Here is a 24,272-nt window from a genome sequence, read left to right as displayed (position 1 = left end):
CTGCTGGGAGGATGCTGAGAGAGGGTGCATGGAAAGCCTGACAAAAGGCAGGGTCGGTTCTCCCTGATGGACCCGGGCAGTCACATCAAGATCAGGCAGCAGGAGTCCCCTCTGGAGGAACTGGGAGAGATCCCCTCTGTGGCCCGGGTGGAACCTCTGCAGTCTTCTCCCGATCCTGAGTGGGTCCTGGGCGCGCTGCCCACGTGGTAAATTCCCCTACATGTATTCTCGCGCCTAATCCTTCATCGGCTGAAGCCCCGCCCCACCCCACCCCACCTCATCACTGGCCAGGTTTGTCCCAGGAGCCCTCGCACCCCCAGGCAGGGTGGGTCAGCTGTTCTGTTCTCAGGACTCCAGACCCTTTGCTTATTCCTCCGTGTCCCCTAAAGACCAAGTTCTCCCTAGGCCTGGAACCCGTCCTCCCCTCCTACAGGGGCACATACCTCCCACTCAGCAGTGTTCTGGAAAGTCAAGCCAAAGGAGACAGAGGCGGAACAGCCCCCTATCCTGTGCCCCCATGGCAGGGCCCCCTTCACACCTTGCCCTTCAGTGGGTGGAGGTTTGGGACGCGGCTATAGAGGGTTGGTTGCCCAGCCTCAGACTGGCATGACCTGGAGGGGCAAATTCCCTGGTCCTCCCCAAACCCCTCCTTTGTGGGTGAGTGTGAATGGGGAAGAGGGAGGGGAGAGTGGCTTCCTGGAGGAGGTAGGCTTTAGGGAGCCCCAGAGCGGGCTCAAATAGACACCCACACCTCTCCAACCCCCTCTAGGTAGGAAGTGGGAGAACGCTCTACCCTGCTCCTTTGATAAAGTCAGGGGTGGGGTCAAGATTAAAGGCAATGCTAGGATTTCAGCACCTTGGCCTTGCAGAGTAACCGCAGGGGAAGGTACTCTTGCCAAATGCCGACCTTACAACTTCCCTCCCCAGCATCCCTCCCTGCCAGGCCCCAGCACCGCCCAGCCCCTCACCTGACTCTGGAGCTCACTCTGTTGCTTGAGGCGAAGGTTTTCCGGGGTGTCCGCCACCATGGTGAAGGACTGCTTGGGGTAGTGTCTGCAGGACAGAAAAAACAGAGTGGGGGTGACTCTGGGGGAGGGGCAGGAGCCTCTGGGCTTCTCACAGAGCATGCCCTCCTGGGAACTTCGTCCTATGCTTGGGCACGCCCTGGCCCGGCCCCACAGGAGGACTTCAGTGTCCACCACCAAGGCCGAGGGGAGACAAGCGTTTCTCAGACTCAGCTGGGACTGGCTGACCTGGGAAGACGCAGCAGGCATCAGTGATGGGCCAGCCAAGGAGAACTGTCCTGAGCGAAAGGATGGCCACTGGGCCACTCTCTGAGGGTTGAAGGTTACCCTTGTTTGGGGATAATCCATGCCTTGTGCCTACCACACATGGAGGTCGAGGCAACTGGGCCCGGCTGGGGGAAGATGGGCACAGGTGAGTCAGGACTAAGCTTTCAGCTAAGACCAGAAGTGGAGACCGACCATGCAGAGGAGAGCAAGGGGGAGACAGAAAAACAAAGGGACACACATATCCAGGGGGACTTCCTGGAGGAAGTGGTGAGAGAGAAAACACACGGTTAAAGTGGTATTTCAAACGGTTAACAAGGTCCAACCTAACTGGAGGGTAGGTGGGAAGGCCAGCTTGAGGACAAAAAAGGAGGTCACCTGAGGGTGACAGGTAAAATACAGGTTGAGTATCCCTTATTGGAAATGCTCAGGACCAGACGTGTTTCAGATTTTGGATTTTTTCTCAGATTTTAGAATATTTGAATATCCATACTGAGACATCTTGGGGATGGGACCATTTCCTATATACCTCATACACATGGCCTGAAGGTAATTTTATACAATATTTTAAATAATTTTATGCATGAAACAAAATTATTGACTGCTTTTTGACCTATGACCTATCACATGAGGCCAGGTGTGGAATTTTCCCTTGTGGCATCACGTCGGCACTCAAAGCTTTGCATCTTGGAGCTCTTCAGACTCTGGATTTTTGGATTAGGGCTGCTCAATCTATAGTAACAACAGTGAATTAGGCCGGGCGCAGTGGCTCATGCCTGTAATCCCAGCACTTTGGGAGGCCGAGGCGGGCAGATCACGAGGTCAGGAGTTCAAGACTAGCCTGGTCAATATGCTGAAACCCCGGTCTCCACTAAAAATACAAAAATTAGCCGGGTGTGATGGCGTGCGCCTATAGTCCCAGCTACTCAGGAGGCTGAGGCAGGAGAATCGCTTGAACTCAGGAGGCAGAGGTTGCACTGAGCCAAGATCCTGCCATTGCACTCCAGCCTATGTGACAGAGCCAGACTACGTCTCAAAAAGAAAAAACAAAACAAAACAAAAAAAAACAAACAGTGAATGTTCTCCCTGTGCTAAGGGCTTATGTGCCCTAGTTCACCGAATTCTCACAGCCACCTGTGTGACTGGTATTCAGCGTACCCCTTTGACAGATGGGAGAACTGAGGCCAGAGAGGTTAAACAACATGGCCAAGACACACAGGGATCCAGATTTGCGCCCAGACGATTTCTTCAGTTCATGCTGAACTTAGCCGCCAATTTCCAGGCCCAGCACAGCCTGGTCCCCAGGAAGAGGGCCTGGCTTGGAGGCAGCCGAAGCCACGGCAACCCTCAGAGCCTGCAGAGACCTCCAGAAGACTCTGGTCCAACTCCCTCATTTCAGAGGAGGAAACGGTGTGCTGGCACCAGGCACTTCTCCCTTAGCAGTCTTCATAATTAACTTATTTATCACATCAATGTATTGTCTTCTCTCTCCACTACTTCTCTATGAAGGGAGGGATTTTGGGGTCTCTTTTGTTCATTGATTTATCTCAAGTTCCTAGAATAGTAGGCGATGCTCAGTAAATATTTGTTGAATAAACAAATGTCAGGCTGGGCATGGTGGCTCACGCCTATAATCCCAACACTTTGGGAGGCCAAAGCAGGTGGATCACTTGAGGCCAGGAGTTCGAGACCAGCCTGGCTAACATGGCGAAATCCTGTTTCTATTAAAAATACAAAAATTAGCCGGGCACCGTGGCGCATAGCTGTAATCCCAGCTACTCAGGAGGCTGAGGCAGGAGAATCACTTGAACCTGGGAGGTGGAGCTTGCAGTGAGCCAAGATCCGCCACTGTACTCTAGTCTGGGCGAGAGCAAGACTCTATCTCAAAAAAAAAAAAAAGTCACGCCAGGAATTGAAGCTGGTGCAGGACTAGAACTCAGCCCTTCTCCATCCCTCTCTCATCACAAGGTCCCCTAGCAAACCAGCTGCAGGAGAGACAGGCAGCTCTGAGCCATGTGGTTTGTGTGTATGTGCTGCTATGAGAAATGTCTGGGGGTCTGCATGGGCCCCAATTACTTCAGGGACTGGTGGGTGGCTTCTCCAAGCCGGAGCCCGTCAGGCCATTTTTAGCCCTGGGTGACCACAGCCCACCACAGCTATGACCCCTGCAGATCCCTGACTCACAGGCTGCACCCAGGTAAGCCATAGATGGCCTCCTGGGACCTCTTCCTAGGCACGTTCCACCCAAAACTGACACACTCGAGAGCTAAGAACGAGCTGCCCCTCTGCTCGGCATGTTCTCCTGCCGCCCACATGGCCGTGCATCAGAGCTACCTGTAAACAGGCGACTTCCCCTGAGGCCACCACTTGTGAAGGGCAGGGCTCAGGATTTGGAGACCTCAATCAAAGGAGCATAACTTGACAGGGCCCAGTGCAGGGCTCTGGCCCTGCCACTGACTTACTGGGTGACCTTGGCAAATCCTTTTTCCCTTGGGCCAGTTTCACTGTCCCGGATCCAGATGATCCTAGCGGTGCCCGTCCCCCAGCCCTCACCTGGGTCCTGGCCACCCAGGTCAGCCCAGACTCGCAGTTCCTCCAGCAGAGGAAGGGAAGATGAGGAAAGGCAAACACAGGTGTCCGCAGCTGGCAACAGACGTGGCCTGTGATGAATACGTGGCCAAGTCTGGGGTCGTCCCCGTGCAGCCAGGGCCACCCACAGCTGAGGAGCTCCCTTCAAAGTTCCTGTACAATTCCAGGCCAAGGGATGATCAACCACGAGTCTGTTCCTAGAGACCAGAAAGGGAAGATCTCTAGCAGGGCTGGCAGGCCCTGAGGCCCTAAGAGGGAGCGCTTCAGAGACGAGACGACCCTCCTCCCAACATCAGAGCCATTCTGCAGACTGTATGGGCAGGGGCTGTGGTGAGGCAAGCACATGGAAGTAGAGGCACATGTGGCAAAAGCAGGGTGGGGGAGAGGAGACCTCCGGGCAGCTCTGGCCCAGCACTCGAAGACTCAATTCTGAGAAGATGAGGCTGGTTAGCATTTGATGGGGAGGGCTAGAGGCAAGCAGGGCAAACACATCCTCCAGACCCGGTCTGCAAAACCCTGGGGTTTCTCATTGGCCAGAATGCACAGGGTTAAAACAGGCCAGGCTGGGTGCAGTGGCTCACGCCTGTAATCCCAGCAGTTTGGGAGGCCAAGGAGGGCAGATTTCTTGAGCCAGGAGTTTGAGACCAGCCTGAGCTACAGAGCGAGAGCCTGTTTTTATTAAATAAATAAATAAAACAGAGGCCAGCTCCAGTGCCCAAAGACCGCCAGACAGGTGCACCTGACGTGCCCCACCCATTCCACAGTCTGAAGTTCCTACACACACTGCACTGTGCCTCACACACGATGAATATATAGATGTGCCCTCTGCACCGATGGGCGCCTCCAAGACACCCAGGCAGCAGCTGCATTGAGGCCATGTCCACACACCCCCTGCACCCCACACTGTGTCCCTCTGCTCACCCTACACCCACCAGACGGTCTCGGGAGCCCCTCCAACATGCAGCAGGCACCTTGGGTGGGGTTGGCAGGTACTTCATCCTCTTCAGAAGCACCCTTCCCCCTAGTCTCAGCCCCCGACAGCTGGAGTGCTAATCCCATCAGAAGGGAAGTGGGGGTGAGCCAGCCCAGATGTGAGCTCAGCTTAATTTGGCAGGAGTGAGGGAGGATTTTAATCCTGCATCAGATTAACTAGATTAAAGAGGCACTCCAGAGCCTCCAAGCTCCTTCCCCTGCCCACTAAGCCCAACCCCAGGCAGAGGAAGGCAGGCAGACAGCTTGGGCTATATTCCTCTTGCTGGGTCAACCCTGTCCCCTCCCCACAGCCCACAGTCCCCAGTCCCCAGCCCCCAGCCCTGGCGAGACGACTCTGCCTTTCCCTCTCCCGGCTCACTACGCTTCAGGTTTCCATGGCAACCTCATCTTCAGCTCCAGGCAGGAGAGCAGCAACAGTGAGAGAGAGAGTGAGGAGAGAGCGAGAGCGAGACAGAGAGAGAGAGAGAGAGAGTGAGAGTGAGAGAGCGAGTGAGAGAGAATGAGTGAGAGAGAGAGAGAGGTCTACGGGGGTTGAGGAAGAGGCACAGACAGCAAGGGGGTCCTCAACTAAGGAGAAGCCCATGAGGGCAAAGTCAGGAGACTGTGTCTATAGGATCTTTCTGGATAATTTAGGTGAGGAGGACAAGTGTCACGGGTTTGTTTCTAGAAGCAAAGGCATGAGAACATCAGTGCTGCACCCCTCCCCCCACCAGCATGCCGGGCTTCAAAGAAAGCTCCAACTGATTTGACCTCCCTCCAGAAACAATTTTTGGGAATTCTACCTTTTCCCTTCCTGCCCATCCCATCCATTACCCCTAGATCCCAGCAGGGATGGCTGGAAATGTGTGCATGCCAACATGGGTGCTAAGACAGACCAGGGGCCACCCGTCCCAGCTGGTGACTCCGCTGGAACCCAACCCCATGACAGACTGGGCCATGGCGAGGAATGAGGGACAGGTGATCAGCTGGGTGCAGGGCAGAGTCCAGAGCACAGCTGTCCTTTGTCCCATAGGCCAGCCTGTACTGGCCCCTTGTTAATCATTCCAAGTGGGTGGTGGGCTCTCTGCAGGTGCCCCACCCACCCTTCCTCCCTGCTATCAGCTGCTCTGGGGAGTTTGCAGGGAGAGGCATGTAGGACAGGAAGAAGCGGGGCAGGAACAGGGACTGGACAGGGATAGGGCAGGGCAAACAGGCAGCTATTGGCAGCAGCCTCGGGCTTCAGGACAATTTACAGAGACACAAAGCAACATCTTGGCACACTGAGTCCTGTGCACATTCTCTCTCAAAACCCACCACACAGCTTTAGGCTGGCATTCTCATTGTGCCGTTTTACAGATGAAGAAACTGAGGTCCAGTGTCAAGGACAGAGACCTTGCCCAAGGCATTCTCCTCTACACCACAGCTGCCCAGACAGCGAAGGGGAGGCCAGATGGACCCCAGCCACCTCCAGCACTCAGTTCTGGGGAAAGATGTGCTTGGCAGGTTGGGTGCAAAACAAAGCACTTCATCCTTCAAACCCAACTCGTTTCCAAGCTCGGCCATTATGAGAGATATTCTGGGGCCTCTCAGCCACACCTGCTTAGGAGCTGCCTATCCCTCTGAACTTTTCAAAGGTATATGATACAGGTCGGGCACGAAATGCCAGCACTTTGGGAGGCCGAAGCGGGCGGATCATCTGAGGTCAGGAGTTCAAGACCAGTCTGGCCAACGTGGCAAAACCCTGTCTCTACTAAAAATACAAAAATTAGCCGGGCGTGGTGACACACGCCTGTAGTCCCAGCTACCCAGGAGGCTGAGGCAGGAAAATCCCTTGAACCCGGGAAGCGGAGGTTGTAGTGAGCCGAGATCACACCTCTGCACTTCCACCTGGGAGACAGAGAGAGACCCCATCTCAAAAAAAAAAAAAAAAAAAAAGCCGGACGTGGTGGCTCACGCTGTAATCCTAGCACTTTAGGAGGCTGAGGTGGGCGGATCACTTGAGGTCAGGAGTTTGACACCAGCCTGGACAACATGGTGAAACACCGTCTCTACTAAAAATACAAAAAAATTAGCCAGGCATGGTAGCGGCCTCCTGTAATCCCCGCTACTTGGGAGGCTGAGGCGGGAGAACCGCTTGAACCCAGGAGGCAGAGGTTGCAGTGAGCCAAGATTGCGCCATTGCACTCCAGCCTGGGCAACAAGAGCGAAACTCTGTCTCAAAAAATAAAAATTAAAAAAAAAAAAAAAAAAGGATATGATACTGAAGAGGCCCTGTGTCCCAGGAGAGGGGTTATCTGTGAGGACCTCTGGGTGGCCTTCCTGCTTGGTGGGACTACAGGGGCAAGGTTTCCGGGCTCACAGGTGACAGGGACAGCTTGTCAGCCACCAGCCTCACTCTCCAGTCCTGCCATCAGCCACACTCCAGGGTCAGAAGAACAGGATAGCGAACCCGAAAGCCCAGCGCCCTTTCTACACAGAGCCTCGCCCGTTCCAGGCTTGGATCTCTTCAAAAACCACAGCTTTGTGTTCAAGGAGGAACAAAAAGACATCAACAAAAGCAACAAGGAGCTTTTGGTTTTACCAAAAGGAAAAAAAAAAAACAGCCCCCACATCCTGCCTCTAGAAAGAGCTGCGGATTCCAAAAGCCCCTACTGGGAAGGCTGCCCACAGGCGGGAAGGGAGGGCTCCCTGCTAACCCAGTTTCTCACCCGTCCATCCCCTCAGGCCTAAGGGGCTGAAGTGGTGGCGATAGGAAGCAACAAGGAGGCATTGTTCAATCAGAGGAAAAAAAAGAGCAGTCAAAAAGATCAAGGCTAGACTTGAGGAAGAACTTACCAGCCATCAGATTGCACACAAAATGAAAAGAAAAAAAAAAAAAAAAAAGCCTGCCCCTGTCGGTAATATAGAAGAGAAACAATTCTGCAAGTTGAGTAAGGCATGGAAACGCGGGCCTGTTTCCTCATCTGTAAAACGTAGGTGTTAGGAAGCAAAGTGATCCCTCAGGCTCCAGGAGGCCTGAAGGACAGGGATTTGGGGGTAAGTGAGGTGGGAGGGCTACCTGGAGGCCACATTTGGCTACTTGGGCTGGCCATTTGCACTTGCCCTCCCCCACACTGTCATCCCTAGTCCCCATTTTTCCAGTTAGAGGCAGACAATTTTGGGAAGGAGGGAAAGCCCTGGGCCCCAGTGCGGGGTTTGCCTACTCCTGCTCCACCTATTTTTATTTTCATTTTTACATTTTTTAGAGACAGAGTGTCCCTCTGTTGCCAGGCTGGAGTGCTGTGGTGCAATCAGGGCTCACTACAGCCTCAACCTCCCAGACTCAAGTAATCCTCCTGCCTCAGCCTCCCAAGTAACTGGGACCACAGGCCCACACCACCACACTCGGCTAATTTATTTCATTTTTTGTAGAGATGAGGCTGGTCTTGAACTCCTGGCCTCAAGCGATCCACCCTCCTCAGTCTCCCAAAGTGCTGGGATTACAGGCATAAACCACTGCACCCAACCCTGCCCCACCTTTTAAAAGCAGCTGGGATTAAAGACAGTTTGCTAGAATCCAGAGACACTTAAGCACCCAGCCTTGTCTGACACAGACCACACCCTACTCCCATCTGATGCCTAAGGGAAGGGGCAGAAACATAGTTCCTGGCTCCCCAGAATCAGGGACATCTTTACCCTCCTCAGTCCTTACCCCACAGCTCAAGGAAACTGGAGAATGAACCCCAAATATGTGCAGTCAGAGAAGAGGGGAAAGGTGCAACCAAGTCCCCCAATTTTCCTTCCCCAGCCCATGCCCACCTCCCACTTGACACCTCACAAGCTGGTTTCCCTGGCTGGCAACCCTGCCTCCTGTCAGTAGGGCCCTAAAGAGGAGGGAACAGGCAGTACTCTAGACTATCTGCAGGGAGACAACGATGCAGGTTTATGCTAAGCCTGGGCGTGTGGACTGATCTGCCCCACTTTTGGAAAATCCAGTTTACAAAACAAGTAATGGAGGGCATAAATATCTCTCTTAAATATCTCTCTCACCAAGAGCAGGCTCACTCCACCCACCCAGAAGCTTCAAGAAAGAATTCGGGCCGGGCAGTGGCTCATGCCTATAATCCCAGCACTTTGGGAGGCCGAGGCGAGTGGATCACCTGAGGTCAAGAGTTCCAGATCAGCCTGGCCAACATGGAAAAACCCCATCTCTACTAAAAATACAAAAATTAGCCGGGCATGGTGGCAGGTGCCTGTAATCCCAGCTACTTGGGAGGCTGAGGCAGGAGAATCGCTTGAACCTGGGAGGCAGAGGTTGTAGTGAGCGGAGATCGCACCACTGCACTCCAGCCTGAGCGACAGAGACTCCGTCTCAAAAAAAACAAACAAAAAGAATTCTATTAGCAGTTCTTCCTCCACCACTGGCTATTGTGCAGAAGCCGGGAGTGCACCCTCAACCTTGCCACAGCATTGGCTGCATGGCTGCAGTCCTGAAGGTGGAAACACAAACACAGCCCATTCAGTCCAGCTCCCAAGTCCTCCTCCCCCGCCCCAGCACCGGCGTGGGTGTCTGCCTACACACCAGGCATGTGTGTAACTGCACGCATGTGGGGGTCCGCCACACCAGGTGGGCTGGCAGTGAGCTCTGGCCTATGTTCTCTCCCCTGCCTCTCCCCCAAACAAGTCTGATGCAAGGACAGAAACAGAAGAGGCCTTTTCACTGCCTACTTTACAGTCACTTTCTAGAGCTTAAATCTGAATCTTGAGAAACCACAGGGAAAGATAGCTTTCTTCTTTCTTGACCAGCCCCCTGCAAGATCCTAGCTCCCCTCAGAGACTAGCCAGAGACAGGCAGAACATAGAGGCCTCCCTGCACACCAAACTCACACACTCACTGGGTGGGCCCAACTCCCTGGCAAAGTGCCAGAAGAAACCACGTGCCCCTACGGGTCCTGCACTGGGCTTGGCCCAGCATGGAGCACGTGATGCTTCAGAGAAGGAAGCCAGGCCTGTGGTCCACAAAGCAAGACCAGAACAGAAATGGCAGAAAGCTGTACCCTGGTAAACCCAGGATTCAGGAACCTGAATGTCACTCAAGGATAAGACCAGAGGCAGGAAGAAAACACGAGGAGGCTGGGCTAAAGCAGGTAGATCACCTGAGGCCAAGAGTATGACAAGCCCTCCTCTCTACAAAAAACTTAAAAATTAGCATGGCGCCACATGCCTGTGGTCCCAGCTACTAGGGAGGCTGAGGCAGGAGGATCACTTAAACCCAGGAGGTGGAGGCTGCAGTGAGCCATGATCACTCCACTGCACTCCAGCCTGGGTGACTGAGCAGGACGAAGTTTTTTTGGAGACCTTGTCTCCAAAAAACCAAAGCAAAATAAAAACAAAAAAAGTAAGAAAGCAGGAGGGAATGACAGCAAACACTCGGCCTAGCGTCTGGCACATAGCAAGAGCTCAATAAATCCTCTTTGGTCTAGGGTCCAACATCCCTGGGCAGGAATTTTTTTTTATCTTTAGTTTGTTTGTTTGTTTGTTTTGAGATGGAGTCTCGCTCTGTCGCTCAGACTGAAGTGCAGAGGCAATCTTGGCTCACTGCAGCCCTGGCCTCCCAGGTTCAAGCAATTCTCCTGCCTCAGCCTCCTGAGTAGCTGGGATTATAGGTGCCCACCACCACATCTGGCTAATGTTTGTATTTTTAGTAGAGACGAGTTTCACCATGTTGGCCAGGCTGATAGAACTCCTGACCTTAAGTGATCCACCTGCTTCAGCCTCCCAAAGTGCTGGGATTACAGGCGTGAGCCACTATGCCAGGCCTCCTGGGCAGGAATTTTTAACCATGGGGAAACCAAGGCTCAGACACGTCCAGAGAGCACTCCTTGCAAGCGGGCGCCACACCTGGTTCATCCCAGAATCCCCACGGGTAACTTCTTGGCCCAGTGGATGCAGGGGAGGGAGAATGACTGCCTTGGGCGAGGAGGTGCTACTACAGCTAAAGTGAAACACAGCTGGGTCACAAAGCCCCCAGGTCTCTCTCACTAGGCTCCTTCCCAGGAAACATCCCAACTGGGCCAAAGGTCAATGAGGCATGGCAGAGGCTAGGGCTACAAAAGCTGGAGGAAACATGGAGAGGCCAACCTGCTTCTTTTGGCTGGAGGCCAGGAGGGAGACAGGGGAACCTCTGCCTCTGCAAGTTGGAAGCATCACCCAGAGAAGAAACCTTGATCTGCCTCTTCTGGCTCCCCCAGTCCCTGCAGGAGCCCTCCACCCAACCTTGTGGCAGCTTCCCAAGAAGACAGTAAAAACAGTAAGCTGGAACTTTGGATGAGGCTGATAAAACGCAGAGAAAACAAGGACAAGCCTCTGATTTTTCTCCAGCTCCCAGTGCTCACTGAATTCTAGGCTGCTTGAGTCACTGGGCTCCAAGGCTCGGTCAGACTTCTGCGTGCTGGGGCGGAGGCTCAGAATCTAGCCTGAGGTGGTCCAGCAACGGAGGGGTTAACTGCCCTGGCTTCTCTGAACCCCACCCCACTACCCAATGGAGGGAGGAAGTGGCAGAGAACCAGGGCTTGTGTGAGCCCTTAAGAATTCGAAGAATGTCCCATTTCCCTTGTGGGGGTGGGAGGGGTTGGTAGGGGGAAGAGGAACAGTAGAAATTAATAGAAGAGAAGGGGCAGCTGAAGGAGGGGCCAGGACAGAGCTGCAACCCTTCCTTTACCCAGATAACCTGCCCAGTGCCCTCCTTCTTCCAGAAGGGACAACTTCATGTTGCTTCTTGGGCTTGAGATTTTTATCAGGAATCTGTTTTCCCAGCACCTGGTGCAGGTTAGTATGTATTATAGCAGCAGGCAGGCAATAAATGTCTGCTGAATGAGCGAGCCCCTAAAAAGATGAAAGAGTGGTCTTAGCCAGGGAACGGGAGGGGGTAAGGAAGCAAGGAAGGTTTGGGGTAAGGTTAGGGGTAAGGCTGGAGGTTTAAGCCCCCTTTTTAGACAAGTCCCAAATTTTTTTTTCCCTGGGTGAACTTCAGCTGCAAAGAGCCTCCTGACTGAGAATTAAGAGAAAAAAAAAAAAAACTGGACTCAAGTCAGATCCTAAATTCATGTGAACACTGAAATTACCATTACTTGAGTTGGTTGAAGTTAAAAAAAAAAAAGTTAAAATTAAAAAAAAAATCGAATTAAGGCTGGGCGAGGTGGCTTATACCTGTAATCCCAGCACTTTGGGAGGCTGAGGCGGTGCATCACTTGAGGTCAGGAGTTCGAGACCAGCCTGGCCAACACGGTGAAACCCCGGTCTCTACTAAAAAATACAAAAATTAGCTGGGCATGGTAGCATGCATCTGTAATCCCAGCTACTCAGGAGGCTTAGGTACAAGAATCGCTTGAATCCAAGAGGCGGAGGTTGCAGTGAGCCAAGATCGCGCCACTGCACTCCAACCTGGGTGATGAGTCCTCTGACTCAAAAAAAAAAAAAAAAGCAAATTAAAAGAAAAAGAAATTATCATTACATCATTACTTATAAGTGACTTGACCTTCCAAAGCCTCCACCTCGCAGGTGGAGGCGGCTGTGAGGCCCCAACACTGAGTTTGTACTTGCTACTCACAAGGTCAATTGGAAGATGGAAAATTGCTGTACTTTCTGGGATTGCATGGGATGGGATGGGATGGGATGGGAGGGGAGGTATTCCTCCAGGCTCTGGGATGGGGGACCCCACCTCTATACTCCCTCCCTACCGTCAGCTGCTGCAGGTCCCAGTGCAGAAGGAACAGAGCTGCACTATACTCAAGATGACTATACTCAAAAGAAACAGTCTCCACAGCCTCCCTCACCAGGCAGGGAAGAGATCTATCTGGCCCAGGCAACACCCTTTATGCACCCCTGCCCATTCTCAAAAAATGAACACCAAAAGGGCTGGCATGAGGCTTCCAGAGAGTTTTCTTGAAGGAACCACTGGAGGAAGGAGCCCCCAAAGCCTAGAAGTACCCAGGTGAGAGAAGGAAACTGTCGATTTTGAGGAGAGAAATAAGGGAAGGTAAACAGAACAAAGTCCTCAACCCCAAATACAACAGACACGTCACTCATTCTTGAAAGACCACGAGGAAAGCCCCCTCTTTTGTAGCAGGGGACAGTGGAAAGAAACGTGCTCGCCTTACTGCCCGAAATTGGGTTAGAGCCTGTCTTGCCCTAGCCATCCCACCTTGAGAGTCTCTTCCCTTCCCTAAGCCCCAGTTTCCTCATCTGTACTTTAAATGCACTTTAAATGGGGGATAAAAGCACTTTAAATGGGGATAAAAAGTGCTTGCTTCATTCAGCTGTTGTGAGGACAAACTGTGATGTTCAAGTAGGGGATGGAAGTGTTCGCCAATGTCACCTTGCGGTTATTGGAAGGAAAGGAAGAACTCACTCGGGGAGGGAGCCAAGGTGCCCACCCAGCCCCCTGCCCAGAACAGGACTCACGCGTTGCAGTAGGGCTTCTTCTCGTAGCCCTTGTAGTTCTTCATGTTCAGTGTCATCTTGCAGGTCTCGCAATGGAAGCATGCTTTATGCCAGAACTGGGGATGGAGACAGGAGGACATACATCAGATACCAGGACTTCTGAAAAAGGGGCTCAGGCCCTAGGAAGGGGCACTCAGGAGCTGCTGGGACTGTCCTAGGCCCATGGCTGTGGGGAGAACATGGAATCATCCCAGGTGAGCTGGGGGCATTTCAGGTCACAGGCTTTGGCACTCCCCTCCCCTCTCTCCTTCCTCATCCTCCACCAATGGGCCATTTGAACCCAGGAGGAAGAGACAGGCAGGCATGAAGGACAGGGGGGAAGAGCCCAGTTATAGCAGTGGCAGCAGCCCCCAAGTCAGCTCCACCCTCCCCAGGGAACCCCTCCTGCCCAGAGCTGGCGAGGCCTCATTGCTTATGCAAAGCTGCGCTGGGTTGCTAGGGAGCAGCCGCTGAACATGAAGGAGCAGCTCCTCTGGTGGCACCAAGGCCTCAGAAGAGGAAGGCCCAGCCCCCACACACCCAGGCCCAGAACCCAGGTGCTCCTAGCTCCTGTACCAGGGCCCAGCACACCCACCAGCCCCACATGAGCCCCAGGTGGTGCTACAGCTCCGATACCTCCCACTTCCTGTGGGATGCCTGGCCAGAGGAGTGGGCTGGGTGTCCCAGGCTCTGTCAACACAACACATCCTTTCTACCCTTCCCTCATCCTCTCCCACCCCAGGAGGAGGGCAGGAGAGCACCCGGCAGCGGGTCTCCCACTGAGGCACTGAAGGGCTCTACTTCAAAGCCTTGAAGGTGGACACCCCTATAGTGGACATCAAAGCTCTACCCCACTAACTGTATGGCCTTGGGCGGGGCCCTGCACCTCAGAGGAGCCCACTTCCTGGTGTGTACAATGGATGTAATAACACCTGGCCCTCCTGGGATTGTCCAGGACTGAGGAGAAATCACCTTCAAAGCCCTCAGCACAGCACTTGGCACCTCTGAGCACTCAGATGTCAGGTGCTGGGCACAGCAGGTGTGAACCTTAGCCGAGGGGGTCAGGGCTCACACTGGAGATTGTGTGTGTTGGGGTGCAGAGGGGCTTCACTGTGCCAACCACAGCTCCAATCCATTCATGCGTGTGAGAATGTGGGACACGGCCGGGCACGGTGGCTCACGCCTGTAATCCCGCACTTTGGGAGGCCGAGGCGGGCGGATCATGAGGTCAAGAGATCGAGACCATCCTGGCTAACATGGTGAAACCCCATCTCTACTAAAAAGACAAAAAAATTAGCCAGGCGTGGTGGCGGGTGCCTGTAGTCCCAGCTACTTGGGAGGCTGAGGCAGGAGAATGGCGTGAACCCAGGCCACTGCACTCCAGTCTGGGTGACAGAGCAAGACTCCGTCTCAAAAAAAAAAAAGAGAATGTGGGACACAGGGCCCATCCAGGGTGGCCGACGGAGGGAAGAGAGTGATGACAGAAAGAGAACAGATCTAGCCGGGAGCGGTGGCTCACGCCTATAATCCGAGCACTTCGGGAGGCTGTGGCAGGCGGATTACTGGAGGTTGGGAGTTCAAGACCAGCCTGGCCAACATGGTGAAACCCCGTATCTACTAAAAATACAAAAAAATTAGCCGGGTGCAGTGACGGCGTGCCTGTAATCCCAGCTACTCGGGAGGCTGAGGCAGGAGAATCGCTTGAACCCAGGAGGCAGAGATTGCGGTGAGCTGAGATCATGCCACTGCACTCCAGCCTGGGGTATAGAGCGAGACTTAATCTCAAAAATAAATAAATAAATAAATAAATAAATAAATAGGCCGGGTATGGTGGCGCATGCCTGTAATTCCAGCTACTTGGGAGGCTGAGGCAAAAGAATCACTTAAACCCAGGAGGTGGAGGTTGCAGTGAGCCAAGATTGTGCCACTGCACTCCAGCCTGGGTGACAGAGCAAGACTCTGTCTCAAAAAAAAAAAAAAAAAAAAGAGAAACGATCTAACAGGCTCCACGTGGCAGCCTGGAGGGGTCTTTGTGGAACCCCTGAGAAGTATTGATGCTTAGGCAAACCCATGACAACAGGATCTAAATTCACCCCCAGAAGCCCAGGATGATGTGCTGGATCACCACCAAACAGGGGTCCACTGCCAGGACCCCAGAATAATCCAGGCCACCTGAGTGACCTGGCTGGCCTGTCCCTGCCCCATTTCCCAGTAGTCAAGGGAGACATTCCCCATTCCAAAAGAAGGAGGCCAGGAGGCAGGCCCAGGGGGACTTTTGAAGGAGCCCAGCCACAGAGCTGGTTCTTGGCCATTTGTCAAGGAATTCCCCCAAGGCGATGCTTTTCAAAATGTTGTCTCCAAACCCCCGGAGGGAGAGGTGCTTCTGAGACACTGGGAGGAGGGGATAGCAGAAAGAAGGCTGAGAATCTGGGATTCAACCTCCCTACCATGGCCCACTTCAACCAGAGACCCCCAGGGTAATTTCAGGGGGAAATCACCTTCTAATAGGGTACTGGTTCCCTATCAAGAAGACCCAAAGGAAAAACCTAATGGTGGAATATTAAACAGAATGCTAGGAGAACCACTCTTGGGGAGGACGGCCAGCCGGAAGTCTGGAAGCAAAGAAGTGGCGGGTCTAAGCTTGGCCCCCTCCCCAACCTGGGCCTATCCCAGTGACCCAGGGCCCCCAAACTCCTATGAGGCAACTTAAAGACTCCTTCTGGTGCATAACCCAATAGACAGAACCCACCGGGACACTAAGACAGACTGGTCCCTGCCCCCACAGGCCCCTGAAGTGGTGCATACCCCAACACACAGAACCCACCAGGGACACTAAGACAGGCTGGTCCCTGCCCCCACAGGCCCCTGAAGTGACAGCCCCACTCCCTCCCCGAGTAACTGGGAGGCATTGGCAGGGTGCCCCAGCCTGGTCACCACCCAGTCTGCTGGCCTCTGCCTACTTAGCTGCACAGGCCCCTGCCTAGGCCCCTGCCTGGGCCCCTGCCTCCCCCTACCCCCACAGGGGCCTGCCAGGAAAAACATTCTCCAGAATCCAGACCATGACCCACTTTCTCACACACACACACACACACACACACACACACACGAAGGGCTACACACTGTCCTAGGACCACGGACCTCCAAGGCTGCCTCCTGATTGACGTTGGGGAGACAAAGGGAGAGAGACCCCTACTCCAGATGGCCAGGCCTGCACCCGGAGCCAAGCCCCTTGGAGAAGGAGGGTGGGGTGTACTGAGCAGGCAGGGGGCACAGGGCCAACACTGGACCCAGTGGTTCCAAAGACCCCTCCAGGCTGCCACGCGGAGGAAGCAGAGCCCCTCTTCTAGGGGATGGCACCTATTTCTATCAGTAGCTCCTTCCCACCTCCCTCACAGGCCCCACACTCTCATCCAGACACCCAAGGGTGGGGCAGAGGAGGGTGGTCGCCTGTCCCCCTGCAGGGGGCTCTGAGCAGAAACATGGAAACCAGTTACTATGAAGCACAAGTGTCAAGTGGAGCTGCAGCCACTGTCTCCCAGAGTGCTGGAAGGTCAGGAGAGGAGGCCGTTCCACCCCTAATGCTTGGCACCTCCAGCAGCTTCAGGCGACTCCCCTACCCTCTCTGGAGGAAGGCCCCAAGGTTCAAGAAAACCCACCAGCTCCTTCCACTGTGTCCTTTTTGGGGTAGGAAAATTGTGGGGAGGGGAGGCAGAAAATGGCCAGTCCCTCCACAACCGCTGTGAGCCAAGCCTGGACCCTAAGATGAAAGAACTCCTGCCTTGTCTCAATGGGGTCTGGGGAAGGACACTGTCAGGGAAATATGTCCAGAGGACCCCACAGTGACCCCGTCTGCCTCTGCCCTGCCCCATGGGCTCTGTCCCAGAGCAAGAGCCCCCCTCTTTTAAAGGCCCCAGGCAAGATGATTTCAGCGAAGCATTCCTGGGCCTCAGGACTCAAGGAAACTGCACCTCGAGGCATGCACCTCTGCCCCTTCCTGCTGCCTGCAAAGTCCATGGCTTCCCTGTTCACAGAAACCAGACAGACCCTACCTCTGCTGCCTGTTAGAGGCCTCTCAGCCTGGATCCGAGGCTCCAAGGCAGGGTCATCTTGATCTTCCCTTGCCTACCTGCAACCCACTCTAAAGAAAGGTAAACAGGCTGGTAGGGGCAGAAGCCTGCAAGGATACCCCTCACTTGGGACAGCCTGTCCCTCTGTGGCTCTGGGTTGGGGGGGATGTGGCAAGCTTCGTGTCACTGTGCCTGCAGCCTGGCACCTTGGCCTCTGAACCCAGGCTACCTGGGGTGGCCATGACTCAGGGATGGATTATGAGACCATCTCTTCCCTTCCTGTTGCCCAGGGTTACAGTTTCTCCCTCCTGCAGAGGCAATGCCAGCCCCACCCTGGCCGGGGCACCAGCCTAGCTTGGTTGGCCACCTGACCCGCTGGCTTAAAGGCATAGATCTTTGCTGCACCTCCACAAATTCCGAGGAGGACAGGATTATTCCCAGTGGCCCCACGCCCCCATACAAGACCCCAGGCCCAGAGCATTCCTCCAGATAGGGTCAGGAAGGGATGGGACCTACTTTTGGCACAAATGAGATGTAAATAAAATATAAATATGTATAAATAAAAGTACTTTCTGCAAACACACTGGCAGAAGAGCTGAGCAGAAAGAACTGTGGATGTGAATTTCAGCTCTAAGAGAGGGAGATGAGCCACATGGGCTACCTGAGCCTCCATTTATGGAGTGCATCGTTTACAAGAGCGAATACACCTACTTTGTGAGGCTGCTGTGAAGACTGAGCCCAGCATATCGTGATAACTAGTAGCTATTATGAAGGGATGGTCACAAGATGATGGTGGGGTACTCTAAGCTTCAGCTAGCAAAACGGGGCACCACAGCTGTGAGGACTTCAACCCCCTCGAGTGGGGAGGGAGCGCTGAGACAAGCAGAGGCAGAGAGCCCACCCTAACAGGGGATTCCAGGGGAACTGGCAGCAGACCAATCCTCTACCTCCACCTGTTTTCAGAAACCTGGGGAAGCAAGCCAGGAAAGAGGGACGTGGCGAGGTTCTTGACAACACAGCTCCCTAGATACAAAGCAGGTGCACAAAGTAGGTGCTCAATAAATATTTGTTGAATGAGCAAATGAGGTCACCCTGTTTCTCCCCCAGCTCTAATCCCAGAAGTCCTCTGGAGAAGCAAATCTCGACCTCCTTCCTCAAACACTGTCATCAGCAATACATATTTATCCAGCTTGCAAAGCATGCTGGGTACTGCAGGTTGGGGGCAGGGTGGCCTTCAGAGGTGACAAGGTTTTTACCCACCTATGCCTTTGGGAGATAAGGCTCAGGGAGGAGAAAAGGCTGAAACCAAGGACACACCCTGTGCTTTGGGCCACGTAGTGGGCTGAGTACCATGGGGGATTGTAGAGAAACGGGTGAGTCTAATTTGACTCTTTTGCTGTAAATGGGAGGCCTTGGGAAGTTGGTTAGCAACTATGGGACTGAAGCTGCCTATGGGACTGAAGGTTTCCCCTCCTCCCTGGTCACAGCCCAGCATCCTCCAGGCACTGGCTCCCCATTCCTGGTCCTATCCTTACTGCCTGGAGCAGGTGGAGAGGAATAGGTCTGATACCTGGATATTTCAGGTCTCCTGCTCAGTACAGGGGGCGAGGTCTCTCCAGGGCCACTTCCTATAGGGAGAGTTCTAAAAAGAGGAAGGAATCACCAACTCCCACTTCCCTGGGCAACCCCCACTTGAACGTCCTCTTCCAGCTAGGGTAAGAGAACTGGGGAGGGCACCCTGCCCATCCCTGCTCCCCTCCCCTCGGGTACACGGCACTGAAGGTCTTTCCAAGGGGAGTGGTGTGGAGCTGAACAGAGCATCCCAGAGAGGTAGGGAGGGCATAGTCTATACAGCACCCTCTTTAGCACTCAGGGACTTTAGTGCACTGCCCCACCTTTAAGGAAATGACATCATCATACCCATCTGACAGATGGTGAATACTGAGGCCTAGAGACATTCATAAAACTGGTGGGAGCAGACCTGGAACAAGGACCCAGTTTCCCAACTCCTGGAGTGGCAATCCTGCCTTCATGTTTTGCTTTTTCCTTATACGGGTCAAGTGCCCACTGCCTCTTCCCAATTCATGACTGTGGAGAAGAAGGGGACCACAGGGAACTCAAGATGCAGAGGCCAAAATCTCTGCCACGAGGGGCGGGCGAAACCCCAGTGTGCAAGGACAGGTACATTCTCAAGGGGAGACTTCATTATCTGATAGCTCTAAGCTCAAGTCCTGCCCAACAGCGGCTGGCATGGTCATGGGGAGATCAACAACTTTCCTCGTGCCCACAATATACCCCCTCCTCTCCTCCTGCCCAGTCAAGCCCAGGACCAGGAGGAACAGTGACACAGCAGCGGCCCCATATGCCCACACTCCCCAAGAGCAAGTTCAAATATCTTTCAGAACCTCCAACCCCACCTCCTCACGCTGACTCAGAGGCCAAAGGTCACTGAGGAAGCTCACACACCAAGGGGGAGGGGAGAGATAAGGTGTCCAATAAACTATCCTCTCCTGAACAAAACCTGGCTCCAGGTCAGTAATGAACTTGGCCCCAGGGCTCTATACCCCTCTTTCATCTAGTGTTCCCACCCTTGCACCTCTCTTCCATCCAGTCCTCCCAGCCCTCCCAGTTCAGATGGAAAGGACAGAATACTTGGACTTGGAGCCAGCTTTGGGTGGTGGATGAAAGACGCGGTGAGGAAGGGCACAAAATCACAGAGGCCTCCCCTCCAGACTGGGGAGGGGATGCAGAGGGGCAGGTTTTACCTTAGGATCTTACGGAGCTTACAAGAGAACAGGATCCTACCCTAAACTGTACGGGAAACACCCAGTTCTACTCTCCAACCCCCCTCCAAAAGTCTAATGGCAACCAGATGAACAAGTCCAGCATTGGGGAGACAGGGCCCCCAGGGGACACTGAATCTCCACAAGGCCACCCTCCCCTCCCCCCAATACCTCCCCCTTTCCTCGGCTTCCCCAGAACTCAGCCAACCCCACCCTCCATTGGAGAAACCTGCTTTGAAAAGTTAGCTCTTTGTTCTTCCACACGGTCTCCTGGCTCTGAGCACAATTTCAGGAGATCTCAGCTAAGCACCCTCCACCCACCCTACTCTGCCACCCAACCCCACCCGGCTCAGGCTGGACGGCCCAGCACCGGGAGTTGGCTTTTAATTGGAGGTGGGGGTTGGGAAGCTGTGGAGGAGGTCTGCGAGTCCTTTAACGACTGAATCCAAGGGGGTGCAGGTCGTTCAAAAACGGGGCTCTTGCGGCAGAGCCCGGGTCCTTACCCAAAACCCCCCGCATCAGATGCCACACACTCGCAGGCTGATAGCCCCCGCCCCGCCAGGCCAGGAAGCCAGGCCACCCCCGCCGGAGCGGACGGTTTTGCAGGGCCCCCCAGCCTCTGCCCCGCCCCCCCGCCCCCTCCACCAGCGCCCCGCGCTTCCGCCTACTTGGCGCTCGGCGCAGAGCGGAGAGGGAGCGGCCGTCTCTTCTCACTCTCCAGGCCGTAGGGGGCGGGACTGCACCCCTAACCTTCCCCCAACACACCCCGGCGCCTGACTTCCCTGCTCCTCTCCCGTCCTCCCAACCCCGGGACACAGAGCCCACCCCTCTCCAGCAGCGGCTGCCCGCTACGCGTGGACTTCCCGCCTCGCCCCAGATCTCCTGGTTTTCAGACTGGGATGTGTCCCCACACCCCATGACACCGCCCGCTCGCCCTCCCTCCATTCTCCTGGGATCGCGGGGATAAGGCGGCAAAGACCCGGCCCTTCTCTCCTCCCTGGATTCGGAGCACTGCGGGGGATTGCAAAGACGCGTCTCCCGGTCCCGGGCTCACCTTATCCAGACAGTTCACCTTCTCCGTGGGATACACGATCTTGCCGCACCGGGCGCAGTTGGGGTTCATGGTTCCGAGAAAAGCTGGGGCGGGGACGCCTGAGCTCACGCGCGTCCTGTTCCCCGAGGCGAGCTGGCGGGAGGCGGCCGCGGCTGCAACTACACAGGCAGCAGCGACGGCGGCTGGAGCTGGGGAACTGGCCTCCGCCTCCGCCCTCCTTCCCCTAATAAACACAGCGGGGAGGAGGGGCTGCACTGGGGCGGGCACGCGCCTCGGGCGCGGGCAAGGGCACGCGCAGCGAGGCGCGCTCTCCGGGCGACGTGGGGCTGCGCGGGGGCGGGTTCCTGGGGGGACGGCGGGGCCCGCGGTGCTGGCGCCTCAGCGCTCTCAGGCTGACTGCGCCCGGTGCCCAGGGCCCTTCCCCAGCCGGAGGCGGCGCAGAGGCGAGCAGGCTGCACATCTGGGGCGCCCGGGCTGCGGGAGGCGGGCTAACCCCTCAAGCCCGTCGAGGGTGGGGTTGGATCCTCCTGAACGCTGGAACTGATTCACCGCATTCGGGGACTTTCTACCCGGCATGAATCTGCGGACCGAACGGGGACCCCCTACCCTGCCCCTCTTAGCTCTCTTCCGGCCCACACCCTTTCCCACATTTGTGGGGCGGAACCCGTCCCTCCCTCTTGGACCCTGCGCGCTGCCGGGCCCGGGCTAGTGCTTCCCTCTCGAGCCCCTGCAGTGCACCTTCCCGGGGTTCCCCGGATGCGGGCACCGTCTGCGTTCAGCTTGACCCCTTTTTCTCCAGCATTCCTTTCTCCTTCTGTTACACCACTACTCACAGTGTAGCAGCTGCAACAATGCTTAGCACCCAAGGAGCCGCCTCCAGGCGCTGTAGAGGCGCGGGGGTATAGCTCAGTGGTAGAGCATTTGACTGCAGATCAAGAGGTCCCTGGTTCAAATCCGGGTGCCCCCTCAATGGCTTGGTTTTTCCTTCCCCTTGTTAACCATCTGTTTTTCATTCTTGACTCACATTTTAACATTGGGTCCTGACTAAAAAAAAAAAAAAAAAGAAAAGAAAAAGTATCTTCCTCATTTTTCAACCTTAGCAGAAATCTTTCGGTTTTACTTTGTGCTCAGCGGGAGGAGGGGGTGGGTATAAAAGCTGCGCGACCGCATTACTCGCGCCAGAGGTGTAGGGATTTCTGCGGCCACGGGCGCCAGCCTCAGATGGGTCAGACAGTTCGAGGTGCCGGGTTTGAGGGACAGGATGTTTCCAATGGGGGTAGGGAGACAGGGGAACGCCTCAACTTGGCGTTCCTTTTGGGGGTGGAGGGTGGGTCAGGCGAGGGAAACCCATAGACACAGCCCTTCTCCAACTTCAACTTTCTGTATTAATGGTGACATGGACGTGCTGTGTTCATCCTTGACTATTAATGTACAAAAGTAAAGTTATAACCCAGTGCAAACTGAGATAAACGAACACAGTGTTTCTCAAATTTGAACGTGCATCAGAATTACCTGCAGGGCTTGTTAAAACACTGCTAGTTTCTGATTCTGTAAGGGGGCCCCGAGAATTTGCATTTCTACCAAGTTTCCAGGTGCCTCTGGTGCTGCTGGTGTGGGGACCACATTTTAAGAACCACTGAAGTAAGAATAAAAGGCCATGGAGTTTCATAACCTAAAGATGGGGACAAGTATCTGCTGGCTGCGTGCCTGACAGGGTCACTGTTGGGCCGGAGGAAAATGGTAAGTGTGACGGGAGACAAGGGCGTCCCCCTCGACTAGGTTTTGCCCAAAAAAAGGAAAAATAAAGGAGAAAGGAAGAGGCGTGCTGCCTGGGTCAAAGGGCAGCTGCGATATTTTAAACCCGGAATGTGGTTGTGTCATTCCTCGGACCCCGGGGAAACGCGCATTTTTTTCTCCTGGCTCCTATTACTGTGAGCTGTATCTCTAGGCTGAACAGAGAGATCACAGATCAGCAGAGCTGCGGTTCCGTGCAAAACCCAGGAGGAACCAGTTTTACCTCTCCTTTAGGCCTTGAACTTTCCATGTATAGCTTATCAAGCCAAAGCCCTGCCTATGAGCTGAGTCAAGAAGGAAGAGGGGAAAATTGCTCGCTGTCTACCTTCTATCTGTGTGCCCTGTCCTGTTCGAGTTCGCGAGTATATGAAAACCTCTGAATTTGGATTACTTCTCCTAGTTTTCATAGTCAAGTACGAACTACTGCCCCGTCCAAGACATATTTTTTACCCCAAAACAAATTATAATTAACGTTAAACCAATGGGCATCGGAGATGGAAATCGATACGCGCCTTTGTTCTCCAACTGAGAGTACTGGTGCGCTTATCGCCACTTGGGGTATGAGGGCTCAGATCCACCTAAAGGCAGCCTCTGGTTGCTGTTCTCTCCCTCTAGGGTACGGGAATCCTTTCAAGGTGAAAATTAGGTAGGTGGAAGATACAAACGACACCTCCCGTGAGTTTTGCATTCAGAACTCGCTGACTCAGGTTATTCCTGGATGGCTGTGAAAAAAACTTAAAGAAACCCGAGGGGGCACCCGGATTTGAACCGGGGACCTCTTGATCTGCAGTCAAATGCTCTACCACTGAGCTATACCCCCTCTGGCGGTGGCTCTCTGGTAAATTGTTTTTACATCGATTGATCCCAAAATTTTCATACTTTCACCATTCGTTCAAAATTAGTGTCTCTTTGCTAGATTATACTGAAATTACCAATGAGGAAGGAGAAATTAAAAGACTAGGCCAAGATAGGCCGGGCACAGTGGCTCACGCCTGTAATCCCCAGCACTTTGGGAGGCCGCGTCGGGCGGATCACGAGGTCAGGAGTTCGAGACCAGACTGACCAAGATGGTGAAACCCACCCCCCCCCCCCCCACCTCCGTCTCTACTAAAAATACAAAAAATTAGCCGGTAGCGGTGGCGGGAGCCTGTAGTCCCAGCTACTCAGGAGGCTAAGACAGGAGAATTGCTGCAACCCAGAACCCAGGAGGCGGGGGTTGCAGTGAGCCGAGATCATGCCACTGTACTCCAGCCTGGGCGACACA

General features: G+C 54.3%; 1 protein-coding gene and 2 non-coding genes across 6 annotated transcripts in view, besides 15 other annotated features; 1 reads left to right on the top strand and 2 right to left on the bottom strand.

The window, feature by feature from the left end:
* The window catches only part of LASP1 (LIM and SH3 protein 1), a 51,713-nt gene extending 30,298 nt beyond the window's left edge, over positions 1–21,415 (bottom strand). For 2 of the 4 annotated variants that reach the window (NR_073384.2, NM_006148.4), the window contains exons 1-3: positions 21,215–21,415; positions 13,293–13,387; positions 969–1,053 (exon numbers count right to left, since the gene is read on the bottom strand). Coding sequence is in view for 3 of the 4 variants with exons in the window: in NM_006148.4 (NP_006139.1) it covers positions 969–1,053; positions 13,293–13,387; positions 21,215–21,283 (249 nt within the window). In the remaining variant the exon portion in view is untranslated. Of the gene's footprint in view, positions 1–968; positions 1,054–13,292; positions 13,388–17,359; positions 17,594–21,214 lie in introns of those variants that run through there. The other 2 variants (XM_047435965.1, NM_001271608.2) reach the window with 2 other exon arrangements.
* Positions 7,158–7,207: a silencer, noted in NCBI's record as "silent region_8446". NCBI's record gives its function as "represses an Ori minimal core promoter by ATAC-STARR-seq in GM12878 lymphoblastoid cells {active_cell/tissue: GM12878}" and the evidence as "EXISTENCE:reporter gene assay evidence [ECO:0000049][PMID:35858748]".
* Positions 9,215–9,797: an enhancer, noted in NCBI's record as "H3K27ac-H3K4me1 hESC enhancer chr17:37037929-37038511 (GRCh37/hg19 assembly coordinates)". NCBI's record gives its function as "activates a minimal SCP1, AML or CMV promoter by ChIP-STARR-seq in primed H9 embryonic stem cells {active_cell/tissue: H9 hESC(primed)}" and the evidence as "EXISTENCE:reporter gene assay evidence [ECO:0000049][PMID:30033119]".
* Positions 10,965–11,547: an enhancer, noted in NCBI's record as "H3K27ac-H3K4me1 hESC enhancer chr17:37036179-37036761 (GRCh37/hg19 assembly coordinates)". NCBI's record gives its function as "activates a minimal SCP1, AML or CMV promoter by ChIP-STARR-seq in primed H9 embryonic stem cells {active_cell/tissue: H9 hESC(primed)}" and the evidence as "EXISTENCE:reporter gene assay evidence [ECO:0000049][PMID:30033119]".
* Positions 13,639–13,718: a silencer, noted in NCBI's record as "silent region_8445". NCBI's record gives its function as "represses an Ori minimal core promoter by ATAC-STARR-seq in GM12878 lymphoblastoid cells {active_cell/tissue: GM12878}" and the evidence as "EXISTENCE:reporter gene assay evidence [ECO:0000049][PMID:35858748]".
* Positions 19,552–20,153: an enhancer, noted in NCBI's record as "H3K27ac hESC enhancer chr17:37027573-37028174 (GRCh37/hg19 assembly coordinates)". NCBI's record gives its function as "activates a minimal SCP1, AML or CMV promoter by ChIP-STARR-seq in naive H9 embryonic stem cells {active_cell/tissue: H9 hESC(naive)}" and the evidence as "EXISTENCE:reporter gene assay evidence [ECO:0000049][PMID:30033119]".
* Positions 20,756–20,855: a silencer, noted in NCBI's record as "silent region_8444". NCBI's record gives its function as "represses an Ori minimal core promoter by ATAC-STARR-seq in GM12878 lymphoblastoid cells {active_cell/tissue: GM12878}" and the evidence as "EXISTENCE:reporter gene assay evidence [ECO:0000049][PMID:35858748]".
* Positions 21,166–21,315: an enhancer, noted in NCBI's record as "active region_12083". NCBI's record gives its function as "activates an Ori minimal core promoter by ATAC-STARR-seq in GM12878 lymphoblastoid cells {active_cell/tissue: GM12878}" and the evidence as "EXISTENCE:reporter gene assay evidence [ECO:0000049][PMID:35858748]".
* Positions 21,376–21,685: a silencer, noted in NCBI's record as "silent region_8443". NCBI's record gives its function as "represses an Ori minimal core promoter by ATAC-STARR-seq in GM12878 lymphoblastoid cells {active_cell/tissue: GM12878}" and the evidence as "EXISTENCE:reporter gene assay evidence [ECO:0000049][PMID:35858748]".
* TRC-GCA4-1 (tRNA-Cys (anticodon GCA) 4-1) lies at positions 22,110–22,181 on the top strand. The gene has a single exon. It is a non-coding gene; the product is annotated as a tRNA-Cys (tRNA).
* Positions 22,561–23,161: an enhancer, noted in NCBI's record as "H3K27ac-H3K4me1 hESC enhancer chr17:37024565-37025165 (GRCh37/hg19 assembly coordinates)". NCBI's record gives its function as "activates a minimal SCP1, AML or CMV promoter by ChIP-STARR-seq in primed H9 embryonic stem cells {active_cell/tissue: H9 hESC(primed)}" and the evidence as "EXISTENCE:reporter gene assay evidence [ECO:0000049][PMID:30033119]".
* Positions 22,561–23,205: a biological region, named in NCBI's record as "H3K27ac-H3K4me1 hESC enhancer GRCh37_chr17:37024565-37025165".
* Positions 22,806–22,985: an enhancer, noted in NCBI's record as "active region_12082". NCBI's record gives its function as "activates an Ori minimal core promoter by ATAC-STARR-seq in GM12878 lymphoblastoid cells {active_cell/tissue: GM12878}" and the evidence as "EXISTENCE:reporter gene assay evidence [ECO:0000049][PMID:35858748]".
* Positions 23,106–23,205: a silencer, noted in NCBI's record as "silent region_8442". NCBI's record gives its function as "represses an Ori minimal core promoter by ATAC-STARR-seq in GM12878 lymphoblastoid cells {active_cell/tissue: GM12878}" and the evidence as "EXISTENCE:reporter gene assay evidence [ECO:0000049][PMID:35858748]".
* Positions 23,162–23,764: an enhancer, noted in NCBI's record as "H3K27ac hESC enhancer chr17:37023962-37024564 (GRCh37/hg19 assembly coordinates)". NCBI's record gives its function as "activates a minimal SCP1, AML or CMV promoter by ChIP-STARR-seq in primed H9 embryonic stem cells {active_cell/tissue: H9 hESC(primed)}" and the evidence as "EXISTENCE:reporter gene assay evidence [ECO:0000049][PMID:30033119]".
* Positions 23,162–24,036: a biological region, named in NCBI's record as "CRISPRi-validated cis-regulatory element chr17.2188". NCBI's record gives its function as "regulatory_interactions: PGAP3".
* Positions 23,423–24,036: a transcriptional cis regulatory region, noted in NCBI's record as "candidate enhancer chr17.2188 targeted for multiplex CRISPR interference". NCBI's record gives its function as "positively regulates PGAP3 gene expression in K562 cells {active_cell/tissue: K562}" and the evidence as "EXISTENCE:mutant phenotype evidence [ECO:0000015][PMID:30612741]".
* Positions 23,757–23,828, bottom strand: TRC-GCA2-2 (tRNA-Cys (anticodon GCA) 2-2). Its single transcript has one exon. It is a non-coding gene; the product is annotated as a tRNA-Cys (tRNA).

Source organism: Homo sapiens, chromosome 17, assembly GCF_000001405.40.
Source record: "Homo sapiens chromosome 17, GRCh38.p14 Primary Assembly".
Classification (NCBI taxonomy): domain Eukaryota; kingdom Metazoa; phylum Chordata; class Mammalia; order Primates; family Hominidae; genus Homo; species Homo sapiens.
This window is presented reverse-complemented; position numbering and strand designations above follow the sequence as displayed.